Below are 13,998 nucleotides of genomic sequence, written 5' to 3' on the forward strand. Positions count from 1 at the left end.
ATTCAGGACATAGGCATGGGCAAGGACTTCATGTCTAAAACACCAAAAGCAATGGCAACAAAAGCCAAAATTGACAAATGGGATCTAATTAAACTAAAGGGCTTCTGCACAGCAAAAGAAACTACCATCAGAGTGAACAGGCAACTTACAGAATGGGAGAAAATTTTTGCAATCTACTCATCTGACAAAGGGCTAATATCCAGAATCTACAATGAACTCAAACAAATTTACAAGAAAAAAACAACCCCATCAAAAAGTGGGCGAAGGATATGAACAGAGACTTCTCAAAAGAAGACATTTATGCAGCCAAAAGACACATGAAAAAATGCTCATCATCACTGGTCATCAGAGAAATGCAAATCAAAACCACAATGAGATATCATCTCACACCAGTTAGAATGGCGATCATTAAAAAGTCAGGAAACAGCAGGTGCTGGAGAGGATGTGGAGTAATAGGAACACTTTTACACTGTTGGTGGGACTGTAAACTAGTTCAACCATTGTGGAAGACAGTGTGGCGATTCCTCAGGGATCTAGAACTAGAAATACCATTTGGCCCAGCCATCTCATTACTGGGTATATACCCAAAGGGTTATAAATCATGCTGCTATAAAGACACATGCACACCTATGTTTATTGCAGCACTACTGACAATAGCAAAGACTTGGAACCAACCCAAATGTCCAACAATGATAGACTGGATTAAGAAAATGTGGCACATATACACCATGGAATACTATGCAGCCATAAAAAATGATGAGTTCTTGTCCTTTGTAGGGACATGGATGAAGCTGGAAACCATCATTCTCAGCAAATGATCGCAAGGACAAAAAACCAAACACCACATGTTCTCACTCATAGGTGGGAATTGAACAATGAGAACCCTTGGAAACAGTCAGGGGAACATCACACACCGGCGCCTGTTGTGGGGTTGGGGGAAGGGGGAGGGATAGCATTAGGAGATACACCTAATGTAAATGATGAGTTAATGGGTGCAGCACACCAACATGGCACATGTATACATATGTAACAAACCTGCATGTTGTGCACATGTACCCTAGAACTTAAAATATAATAAAAAAAATATAAAAAAAGAAATTATCTATTCTGGGATTTAATTTGGGGGAGCTTTTTGATTACTGATTCAATCTGTTTACTCATTATTGGTCATTCCAGACTTTGTATTTTTTTGTGATTTGGTCTTGGTATGTTTTATGAATCTAGGAATTTATTCATTTCTTCTTGGTTATCCAATCTTGGTAAAAAATTGTTCATAGTAGTCTTTAATAATCCTTTTTACTTTGGTGGCATCAGTTATAATTTCACATCTTTCATTTTTAAAAATTTGAATCAAAATTTACCTTTTTTCTTAAGTCTAGCTAAGCATTTGTCAATTTTATCTTTTCAAAAAACTCTTACTTTCACTGATTTTTCTGTTAGTTTTCTATTTTTTAGTTTTTTTCTGCTCTCATATTTATTTTTTCCTTCCTTCTTCTAATTTTTAGTTTAATTTTTTCCAGTTCTTTGAAGTGTACAGTTAGATTATTTGAAATCTTTCTTCTTTAATGTAGTCATTTATTGTTATAAACTTCCTTCTTAGTACTGTTTTTGCTACATCCCATCAGCTTTGTTATGTTGTGGTTTTGTTTCCATTTGTTTTAAGATGTATGTTTTTTATTATTTTATTTTATTTTTAATTGAAAAACAATAATTACATATATTTAAGGGGTAAAGAATGATATTTCAATATATGTGTACACTGTGGAATAATCAAATCAGAATAATCAGCAAACCAATAAAATCAGAGATGAAAAAGAAGACATTACAACTGATACTAAAGAAATATGAAGGATGATAAGAAACTGCTGTGGACAATTATATCCCAACAAATTAGAAAACCTAGAATAAATAGATAAATTCCTGGACATATAAAACCTATTAAGATTGAATTTAAAAAATAGAATGTCTGAACAGACCAACAATGAGTAATGAAACTGAATCAGTAATAAAGTCTCTAATCAAAGAAAAGTGCTGGACCTCATGGCTTCACTGCTGAATTCTACAAAAAAAATTAAGTTCTTTAGAATTTTTCACAAACTATAGAAAATAATTGAAAAGAATGGAACACTTCCAAACTCATGCTATGAGGTGATAATTACTCTAAAACCAAAACCAGACAAGGACACAGAAAGAAAGAGAGCTACAGGCCAATATTCCTGATGAGTGTAGATGCAAAAATTTTCAACAAAATGCTAGCAATAAAAGTTCAACAGCACATTAAAAAGATCATTCACCATGATCAAGTGGGATTTATACCAGGGATACAAGGATGGTTTAACACATGCCAATCAATAAATGTGATACATCACATTAACAAAGAAAGGATAAAAACATGATTATTTCAATAGAGGCAGAAAAAGCATTTGACAAAATTCAATATCCCTTCATGATAAAACCTCAATAAATCAGGTTTAGAAGTACTATAACCTTCATATAATAAAGGCAACATACAGTAAATCCACAGCCAACATTGTATTGAATGGGAAAGAATTGAAAGTTCTTCCTCTAAGATCTCAAACAAGACAAGGATGCCCACTTTCACCACTACTATTCAGCATAGTACTGGAAGTTTTAGCAAGAGTAATTAGGTAGGAGAAAGAACAAAATGTAGTGAAATTAGAAAGGAGGTAGTCAAATTGTTCCTGTTTGCAGATGACATTATCTTATATACGGGAAATCCTAAAGACTCCACCAAAAAACTGTTAGAACTAATAAACAAATATAGTAAAATTGCAAGATAAAAAGACAACATACAAAAATTAGCAATGTTTCCATACATCAATATCAAACTGTCTGAGAGAAATAAAGAAAGCAATCCCACTTACAATACCTACAAAAAATAATAAAAGACCTTGCAATAAATTTATCCAAGGAGGTAAAGGATATCTACAAGGAAAACTACAAAACAGTGATGAAAGAAATTATAGATAACACAAATGGAAAAACATGCCATACTCATGGGTTGAAAGAATTAATATCATCCATTAAAATGATTATAGTGTTTAAAGCAGTCTACAGTTTCAATGCAATCCCCATCAAAATACCAATGTTATTTTTCAGAGTTAGAAAAAAGCAATCAAAAAATTCATATGGTGTTGGAAGCAAGCCCCCCAAAGTCTGGTCATAAACTGGCCCCCAAATTGGCCATAAATAAAATATCTGCAGCAATGTAACATGTCCATAATGGCCATAACGCCCAAGCTGGAAGGTTGTGGGTTCACGGGAATGAGGGCAAGGAACACCTGGCCCGCCCAGGGTGGAGAACCACTTAAAGGCATTCTTGAGCCACAAGGAAAAGCATGAGTGATCTGTGTCTTAAGGGCGTGTTCCTGCTGCAATTAATTCGGCCCATCCCTTCGTTTCCCTTAAGAGATACTTTTAGTTAATTTAACAACTATAGAAACAGTGCTAATGACTGGTTTGCTGTTAATAAATACATGGGTAAATCTCTGTTCAGGGCTCTCAGCTCTGAAGACTGTGAGACCCCTGATTTCCCACTTCACACCTCTATGTTTGTGTGTATGTGTCCTTAATTCCTCTAGCGCCACTGGGTTAGGGTCTCCCCGACCAAGCTGGTCTTGGCAATATGGAACCATAAAATACCCTAAATAGCCAAAACAATCTTAAGCAAAAAAAGAAAAAGCTGGAGGCTTTATACTATCTGAACCCGAAATGTGCTGTAAAGCTATAGTAACCAAAACAGCATGGTGTTGGAATAAAAACAGACACATAGACCAACAGAACAAAATAGAGAGCCCAAAAATAAATTCAAGAATTTACAGCCAATTGATTTTCAATAAAGGAGTCAAGAGCACTTAATGGGGTAAAAACAGCTTCTTCAATAATTGGTGCTGGGAAAACTAGATATCCACATGAAAAAGAATAAAACTAGACTCTATCTCTCACCATATACAAAAATTAACTCTAAATGAATTAAGGACTTAAATGTAATACCCAAAATTATAAAACTACTAGAAGAAAACATAGGAAAATGTTCATGACATTGGTCCACACAAGGATATTTTTAGAGAAGACCCCAAAAGCAGCAACAACAAAAGCAAAAATAAATAAATGGGACCACATCAAACTAAAAAGCTTTGGCACAGCAAAGGAAACAATCAGCAGAGAAAAGAGACAACATATAGAATGAGAGAAAATATTTGAAAAGTATACATTCGACAAGGGGTTGATATCCAGAGAAATGTAAATCAAAACCACAATGAGATATCACCTTGCCCCAGTTTTAAAATAGCTATTAACAAAAAGATAAAATATAATAAATGTGGCAAAGATGTGGAGAAAGGGGAACTCTTATACACTGTTGGTGGGAATATAAGCTAATAGAGTCATTATGGAAAACAGTATGGAGGTTCCTCAAAAAATTAAAACTAGAACTACCACATGATCCAGCAATCCAACTACTGGGCATATATCCAAAGGAAATAAAATCAGTGTGTTAAAAAATATCTGGACTCCAGTGTTTATTGCAGCACTATTTATAATAGCCAACATATGGAATCAACCTAAATGCCCATCAACAGATGAATGGATAAAGATACTGCAGTATATATACACAATAGAATACTATTCAGCCTTACAAAAGATGAAATCTTGTCATTTGCAGTAACATGGATGAATCTGGAGCACATTGTGTTAAGTGAAATGCTGGGCACAGAAAGACAAATACTGTGTCATCACACTTATATATAGAATCTAAAAAAACTGATCTCAGAGAAGTTGAAAGTAGAATAGTGGTTAGCAGCGACTTGGGAGAATAGCGGAGAGGAAGAGATGGTGAGAGGTTTGTCAGCAGGTACAATCTTACAATTAGTAAGAATTAGTTCTCGTACTCTATTGTGCAGTAGGGTGAGTCTAGCTAACAAAAATGCATAATATATTTTCAAATATCTAGAAGAGGGGATTTTGAACGTTCTTACATCGAAGAAATGATAAATGTTTAAGGTGATTACTATGCTAATTTTCATCAATATACAATGTATACATTTGTCAAAACACCACATTGTGCCCCAAAAATATGTAGAATTATTATATTTCAATAAAAGGAAGACTATCCTGCTGTATTTGACAAGTTGGATGATCCTGGAGGACAATATGCTAAGTGAAATAAGCGAGTCATAGAAGGACAAAATACTGCATGGTTCTACTTACGTAAGGTATTTAAAATAGTCAGACATACAGAAAAAGAGAGTGGAATGGTGGCTGTCAGGGACTGTGGTGGGAGTGGGGGAAATAGGGGGATAAGCTACGGTTAAACGGGTATAAAGTTTCAGTTATAAAAAATGAATACGTTTTAGAGATCTGCTTACAACATAGTACCTATAATTAACAATACTATATTGTACACTTAAAAATTATTAAAAGAGTAGATCTTATTATAAGAGTTCTTATCACAATTAAAAGAAAAGAAGCCATGATGCTGAAATAGAGGCTAATGGACATGGGAGATCATAATTTTAGATGCTTAGTTAAATTGGGCTCTCTGAGTATATCGTATTTAAAATGACATATAAGGAAAGAACATGGCAGGCAAAGAGGCCAAGATGGACAGCATTCTGCAGTGTGAATGTGAATGTGCTTCTTGTGTTCAATAAATGAACAAAGATTAATTTGCTGGATCATAGAGAGCAAGGAGAAATTTGGGAGAAAATGAAAGAAGTGGCAGCAGAGAGGTTAAGCAACTTTTGTAGGCCACAGTTAGAAAATTTACTCTAAGTACAATCAGAATCTAGATTTGGGGAATAAAACCAAGATTTTAGTTTTATACATGTTATTTTTGAGATGTCAGTGAGAAGTTTAATAAAAACCTGAAAATATAAGCATCTCAGGATGGAGAATTGAAGAACATCTATATTCAGAGTATGAGTACAAGATAAAAGCAAGCAATGAAAACCAGCAGAACATCCAGCAAGGTTGGAGAAAGAAAATACCAGTTAAACCACAGGTGTTTATAGCGGCTTTATTCATAACTGCCAACACTAGGGAAGCAACCAAAATATCCTTCAGTAGGTACATGAATAAAGTGTGATACCACTTGACAATAGACAATATTCAGTGCTAAAATGAAATGAGCTATCAAGCCACGAAAAGTTATGGAGAAAACAGATGCATATTACTATGTGAAATAAGCCAATATGGAAAGGTTACATACCATATGATTTTAACTATATGACATTCTGGAGAAAGCAAAACTGTGGAGACAGAAAAAGATCAGTAGTTGTCAGGGGTTAGGGAAGAAGGAAGAATGAGTAAGTAGAGCATAGAAGAGCTTTAGAGCAGTGAAACTACTCAATATGATACTATAATGATAAATAGATGTCATTATACATTTATTCAAATCCATAGAAGGGACAACAGCAAGAGTGAATCCTAATGTAAATTATGGTCTTGAGATGATAATGATGTGTCAATGTAGGTTCATCAATTGTAAAAAATGTAGCACTCTGTTGGAGGATATTGACAATGAGGGAGGGTATATGTATGTGGGGGCAGAAGGTATATGGGAAATCTCTGTACTTACCTCTCCATTTTGCTGTGAACATAAAACTGTTCTTAAAGTCTATTCAAAAATAAATTTATACTATAATACTAAATTAATTACTTACATCCTTTATATAAAAACTAGCCACACTCCATTTACTTCTGAGTAAATTTCTCCTTCTAATGCCTATGTGCCCACAAGAGGCATAAACATGTACTTTTTTGTGGGCTTGTTGGTGTCCCTGTTTAACAAGTATGTTTGCACTGGAATGTGGTAGAAAAAATGCAAGGGGAACAAGTGAGTAAACCGAATGTCATTAGTAAGTTTTGACCAGCAAGTTCCAAAAATTCTAACATTTCCATTTAGCCTTCCTCATTCAGGTATTACATTTCTGATAATATTTTATTTTTATTAAAAAATTGACTTCTAAAGAGGTAAGAATATCACCTCATGAACTTAAATGTATTGTGGGGTTTCAAATGTAACTCATTGCATGAGGAAAGTCTGAGATGAGGGAAACAACATTTTTGTGTATACAACAATGTTAAAATTCCAAACTTATAGAAATTTTTGCCTTCTCAACACTTTCTTGAATGCATTCTGGACTTCTCTGTTCCTCAGGCTGTAGACCACAGGGTTCAGCATGGGGATGATCATAGCATAGAACACAGATGCCATTTTGTCTGTGTCCATGGAGTGGCTGGAGCTGGGCTGCAAGTAGATGAAGATTACTGTCCCATAGAAGACGGAGACTGCAGTGAAGTGAGAGGCACAGGTGGACAATGCTTTTTGGTGTCCCTTAGCTGAATGCATCTTCAAGATGGTGATGAATATGAACAAGTAGGAGATAAAGATAACTAGAAGAACAAAAAAGATATTAAAGCTTGACATAAAAACCAGAATCACCTCACTAGTGTGTTTATCAGAGCAAGACAGAGCCATGACTGCTGGAACATCACAGAAAAAGTGATGTACCAGATTGGATTTACAGAAAGAGAGACTGAATATGCCCCCAATGTGGAATGAGGCATTTAGGAAGCCACAGACATATGAGCCTAGGGCCAGACAGGCACCTACACTGGCCGTCATGGTGGTGGTGTAGTGTAGGGGTTTGCACACTGCTGCATAGCGGTCATAGGCCATTGAGGCCAACAAGTAATTTTCCACCGTGGCCAAGGCTACAAAGAAGAACATCTGAACAGCACATGCATTGTAGGAGATGACCTTGTCTCCTCTAAGGAACCCAGCCATGACCTTGGGAGTGACAGCTGAGGAGTATCCAAAGTCCACCAGAGACAGGTTACTGAGGAAAAAGTACATGGGGGTGTGGAGACAAGAGTCCATCAGGATCAGCAACATCATCCCCAGGTTCCCACACAGAGTGAGGAGGTAGATGAAGGTGAACAAGATAAAGAGGGGGATCTGTAGTTCTGGGACACTGGTTAGTCCTAGAAGAATGAACTTTGTCACTTCCGTACAATTCTCCATCAGTATTATCTGAGAAACTTAAGATGACCTGTAGCAATGAGAAATAAAGCAATAGAGTGATAAACAAAAAAAGAGATTTAGAAATATATAAATACTATATGCATTATGTAATTATAGCAACAATTTGTACTTCAAAATTCTATAGATCTAAAGCATAGGCTTGGTAACAATCTTTAATGCATTATCTACAGAGTTGTAATCTGCTGAATCCAGGGGATCTTTATAAATAATATCCCAATGTTTCCATTTTATAAATTTATAAACTGCTATGTAGTATATTTAATGATGTGTCCAAGATGACTCATCTGGAACTAATTTTTCTGCCAATTCAGTTTTCCCTAATCTGGTAAAACTTATACATTTATGTTGCTCACATACTGGGAACCGCTCTAGGCAATTTGTATGTATATTGATTCCTCTCAACAATATAATGAGGTTGATTCGTTATTACATTTATTTAATTTGTGAGGCTCACAAGATTAAGTCATTTATTCATATGTACACAAGTGTTAATAGTCAAGCCTATCTTCTGGCTCAGGAGAGTCGTTCTCAAGCTCAATGGTCTAAATTGAATCTAAATCAGATTGAATTTGAAGCAATTTACAATTACTCATTGTCTTTGTTGGTGCAAACTTAGGCAGGTTTCACAGTGAGGTAACTGAGAGGAAAATGCACATTAAGGGTCTCAGGATAGCTGGAGAAGTAGGGAAATGTGCAACTAGCAAAGGCAATTCTGAGGGGAAGGCAGCATCAGATATAGAGTTTGGGATTGGGAAGAGGTGCTTATCAGCCCTACCATTTACTGCCTAGGCAGCATTGGTCCCACACTAACTTCCCTGAACCTTATTTATTTTATCTGCAGAATGAAAATATTAATGAGATCAACCTCAAGGCATTATTTTGAAAATTCAATGTTATACATTTTTACAACAATAAACAAAATGTTAAATGTTTAGCACAGTCTGATGAGAGCTAGCTATAATATTATCGTTAGAATGGAATGATGATCTGTTAGTTTCATAAAGGAGGATGGCAGGGCTTTGTGTGTTGGTAAATTTTGAAGTCTTATAGCCCCTTCTTCAATTTGTCTTTCCTCACATACCAGGGCTACTGAGATTTTCTGTGCCTCCCAATAATTCTCATTCTGTCTTTTTTTTCACCCAAATGATAGACTGTTCCAGAATTCTATGTGAACCATTCTTCTGTTTAATTTCTTCCTTGAAATTTACATTTTAGCTTGGTTTCGCAGCATCTCCTTTACTTAAACTCATGCTTTTCTTTCATTTATGTCATCTCTTAGTTGACCCTTATAGTTTAAAATGCATCGTTCGTGGGTTTCCTTTAGTCTGCAGATCTGTTTTGGTGGCAGGTTGTAAGCTATAAAATTATTATTTAGATCAGTTCTTGCATATGAATAGTGTTTTAAATTAGAAAGGGCATTCATCCTCTAACTACTATTCATCTGCTAACTACTACTGCCTACTGTCTTTCCACACTGCATAAGTTTAGCCCATGAAAGCATTATGTTTGCCAAACTTAAATCACATAATCACTTTTAGAATATACTATGTTCTACAACAGATGTTAAGAACTTTTTATATAAACGTTTACATGTGTGTGTTTGTGTGTGATAAGTATTATTGTTATTACTATTTTACCATTATAAGAATTTGATATTTGAAAAGTTTTGTGATATTCTACAATTATACAACTAGTATGGAGAACAGTCAAGATTCACAATTGAAACCAAGTTCCAACCTAATCAAAATTTGTGCTTTTAGCTACTTCACAATGAGCATTAGATTGCTAGTCATAATAAGGATGAGATTATGGGGGAAAGGTTACAATTCTGTATGCATCTTGCTAACTTACTTAGATCCTTTTGTAGTTTGAAGAGCTGTCAATTCACACTTCTGTTATTTTTGTTTGTTTTACTTCAAGTAGAAGCCTAACCAATAGTGAATAAGATGAAATTACCACCTACTTAATCAGAGCATCATCTATCTCATTTTTTTCATCTTCTTTAGGGAAGCAGTATCACTGAACACCCTACCAATGGAAGTTTTGACATCTCTATACTCCAGCCTCAGCATATGTTTTTAGAAAAAAAATATTTAAAGCATCTACTTCTGTTCTGAAATAATATAGTATCTATAGCCGTCCCACTGCTTTTGCACAAATTCCCTCTTTTACTAAATGTATATATGGAACATAGAAGTTTACCTTGTGCCTGGAAAAAAAGAGATAGTCAATCCTGAATACTAGGTCTAAAATTGGAAATTCGGTCATGAAATAATGCATAAATAACATTAGAAAAAAAATATGTCTCAGGTAGTGGTCAAAAAAAGCTCCAAGTTCTCTATGGCAAGGAAAGACAGAATAAAAAAACACTAGCATCAATAAACTAAATTAAATATAACTGCTATTGTTAGGAATGACCTTTAACACATAAATCACTCACTATGTGCAGATTCTCTTTTATGTATTTTGCATACATTAGCTCATTTAGCATAAAAAAATAGAAAGTAAAGGTGCATTGTAGGTGAAAAATAGGGTTCCATGTAAGTTTTGATTTTGCTGTGTGTGTATGTGCGTGTGTACACATGCATGCAGTCATACATTATGGGTCACAATGTAAATCGTGTGGACTCCTTATTTTAAAAAATCTAAAGCCTTCAATCAAGAGCCTCTGAATAGCCTGTGCAAAGTTAGGCATGAGACTGTGCTTCAGTAACACAGAACCATGTATTTTATAATGTGCTCACTGATCATTTGCTGACTTATTTATTTATTCATTTATTCATTTAGATACATTCTCTCATTGCCTCAACAAGTATTTAGAGTGCCCATCATTTTCTAAATGTTCTTCTAAGCACATGGATTTTTTGTGTGTATAAGGGTTTTGTTTTTTGTTTTTTTGCTTTTATTTTAAGTTCAGGGATACATGTACAGGCTTGTTACATAGGTAAATTTGCATCATGGGGGTTTGTTATACAGATTATTTCATCACTCAGGTATTAGCCTGGGACCCATTAGTTATTTTTTTTCTGATCCTCTCCCTCCTCCTATCCTCCACCCTTCGATAGGCACCAATGTCTGTTGCCCTCTAAGCATATGAATTTTAAATGATGAGAATAATACCATCTTCTATTATTTGAATAAAATCACCATTTTCCCAATTAATGGAGATTGTTGTAACACCTGGACTGTGGCTAAATAGCGTGATAGCATGAAAATATTAAAAGCTGGGAAACTGAACTCTGATTACTCAATGGGAAAATGTTTGCCCTTGAACTTTTATATAACACATATTCTATTACTACAACCTAAACAGACCGTAGAACAGAGCTAGAAACTTACCTTGCTCTTCAAGGAAGATGACACACTTTCAGTTGGTATCTTCAAATTGCAAGTCCTACTCAAAGAAGAAAGAAAAGCTCCTATTTAAGAAGTTATTATTTAATGTCTAGTCACAAATATTGAAGTTCTCTAGAGGGAGGGAGATTTAAGGAAAAAGTAATGACTAGGTGGAGATTAGAAAATATTCTCCAACTTGTCACACAGGGCTGCTGCTGTGAGGAAAAATAGAAGTCTCTGAATGCACTCTGTAAAGTCCTAAAGAGCTGTAAGAAGGGATCATCGTATCTGCAATGAACATCATTTTTAGCTGGGGGTCTTATCCCTGGCCATTGTTGCAGACTCAGAGTAATATACCAGTGTGAAATAAGGCCACTTAGTACAATGGACAACCTTTTACACTGAGATCAATAAATGATCACCAAAAGGTGACACACAGGGTGGAACCTCTAACATGATGTTAAATAGAGTCATGTTGGGATGTTAGAGACCAATGACTGGGAACTAACAATAATTGAGGAATTTGAACGTACATAAAGTTCTCAGGGGACAAGTTACCCATGAGAATAACCACAGTCTCTCACTCCAATCATCTAGAGAAGCAATAATTAAACTGCATATGAAAGCCTGGTTCCATTTTCTTAGGAAGAACACCAGTGTATTTACTTTACTCAGGGTTATTTCTTCTTGGTAATGTGAACATCTTCAGAAAAGATTCATCATTAACTTTCCTGGCAGAAATCAGACAGAATCATGAGTGGCATAATGGAAACTAGGCTAAAGTGTTATGTAAGTTTCGTTGGCCGATGGCAGCATAACTTCACAAAGTTCATATTGAGATTATAGGTTGTATAAACACTTACGCACTTCAGTTCTCTCATTAATAAAACAGAGATGAGTATTTTTTTTCTGAGATAGCAGAATGGATGCTTTGCCAGAATCCTTGCTCACTTGGAAATAGCAAGTGGTGTGTAGAGATTCACACTGTGAATTTGCATCCAAGTAGAAACATGATTGTTCAATATAAAAGTGAAAGAAAACTTTGTATACTGCTGAAAACAAGACAGACAGCAGCCCAAATGGAAAACTGTGAATCAGTCCCTCCATATGTGAGAGGGGGAGTGCTCCACAATACACATACCCACCAGGAAGCCAGGCAACCTAGGCTATCGGGAACTTTTTGAGTTTCCCAAAACCTGGATCAGACTTGGGGAACAGTCAAGGGACTGTGAGAAGGAAGAGCACTGGGAAGTACCCCACATGCACTCTCAGACTTAAGGACCAATGGAAGGAGGTCATTCCTGATGCTAACTCATAGTGGGTTGCACAGGAACCTGCCAGCTAGCATTGGTGTCAGTCACTGGTTTGTAGAGTTGTTAGCCAGAGATTTGTGATCTTACCTTGATTGGAGGAGGAATCCACATGGCCAGAATGGAGAGGCAAGAATAGCATGGGCTTCAGCTGTGGACAATGGAATTGGGAATCCACCTTGCAGGACAAGACCAGGAGGGTTTGAGTCTGAGAGGAGTGGTTTTGACCACGGTAGCAAGTTTTGCAGCCTGAGGCATTTTCACACTCTAAAGGCAAAGTGCATTTGAGTTGGCTAACTGTCCCAACGCACTGCTAGTGTCCAGCTGTGGGAAAGAGCCCTGCTGGGTTTAATGAGAGCAAACTGGGTCTTACTACCCCTTGATAGGCCATGGAGCCTAGGATGTACTCTTTCCCTCATGGGGTCATTGGCATAGCAGCAGTTGCTCTGCTTATTGCTGGAGCGTTTCTTCAGAGGTCTGAGGATTGCTCTCTGAACCTTGTAAGGGCCAGCACTTGTACATGCCATCGTGGGGTTCAAGTGCAGACTTGCACAACCCAACACTGCCCAGCTTTGCCCTCTTGCCTTGGATACAAAGCATGGAACCAGGACCACTGTGTGTTCCATAGCCCAAATCATTATCTGGGACACCCAAACCAGTACACTAAGGATATTTACAAACAAGAAAATCATACAGAGTCTACACCAGTTTAGACAGCCAGAAACAAAGCCAAATAACCCTACTCAGCATACATTATAGTCACATTCCCAAGAAAAATAAGTCACACCCCAATGAAAGTAAATTCAATAATAGAAGTGACTAATTCTCCAGATGCAAAGAAATCAGGATAATAATACTGGAAGTATGAAAAACAAAGTGCTATAACACCTCCAAAGGAGCACAGTAATTCTCTAGCAATGGATTTGAACCAATAAGAAATCTTCAAAATGTCAGATAAAGAATTCAAAATACTGATTTTAAAGAAGTTCTATAAGACATAAGAGAAAACTGAATACCAATGCAAAGACATCAGAAAATCAATTCCTGATATGAGCTAGAAATTTACCAAGAAGGTAGAGATCTTAAAGAAACAAACAACTTCTGGAAATGAAAATTTCACTGAAAGAATTATGAAGAACAGTTGAAAGCCTTAAGAATAGACTAGAACGAGCAGAGAAGAGAATCTCAAAATTTGAAGACAGGTCTTTTGAATTAATTCAATCAGACAAAAATAAAGAAAGGAGAATAAAGAAGAACAAACAAAGCCTTTAAGAAGTATGGGAC

The 13,998-nt window shown here is 36.0% G+C and overlaps 1 protein-coding gene across 1 annotated transcript; it reads right to left on the minus strand.

The window, feature by feature from the left end:
* Positions 1-6,023: 6,023 nt before the first annotated feature.
* OR5B2 (olfactory receptor family 5 subfamily B member 2) lies at positions 6,024-12,907 on the minus strand. Its single transcript, NM_001005566.3, has 3 exons — positions 12,805-12,907; positions 11,408-11,462; positions 6,024-8,075 (listed from the first exon to the last, which is right to left on the minus strand). Exon 3 carries the CDS (start codon positions 8,045-8,047, stop codon positions 7,118-7,120), a length of 930 nt encoding a protein of 309 aa, NP_001005566.1. The 5' UTR covers positions 8,048-8,075; positions 11,408-11,462; positions 12,805-12,907; the 3' UTR covers positions 6,024-7,117.
* Positions 12,908-13,998: the final 1,091 nt, after the last annotated feature.

Source organism: Homo sapiens, chromosome 11 (assembly GCF_000001405.40).
Source record: "Homo sapiens chromosome 11, GRCh38.p14 Primary Assembly".
NCBI lineage: Eukaryota > Metazoa > Chordata > Mammalia > Primates > Hominidae > Homo > Homo sapiens.

Coding starts and splice junctions, on each gene's coding strand:
- OR5B2 (NM_001005566.3), bottom strand. CDS start 8,047: ATGGAGAATTGTACGGAAGTGACAAAGTTCATTCTTCTAGGACTAACC.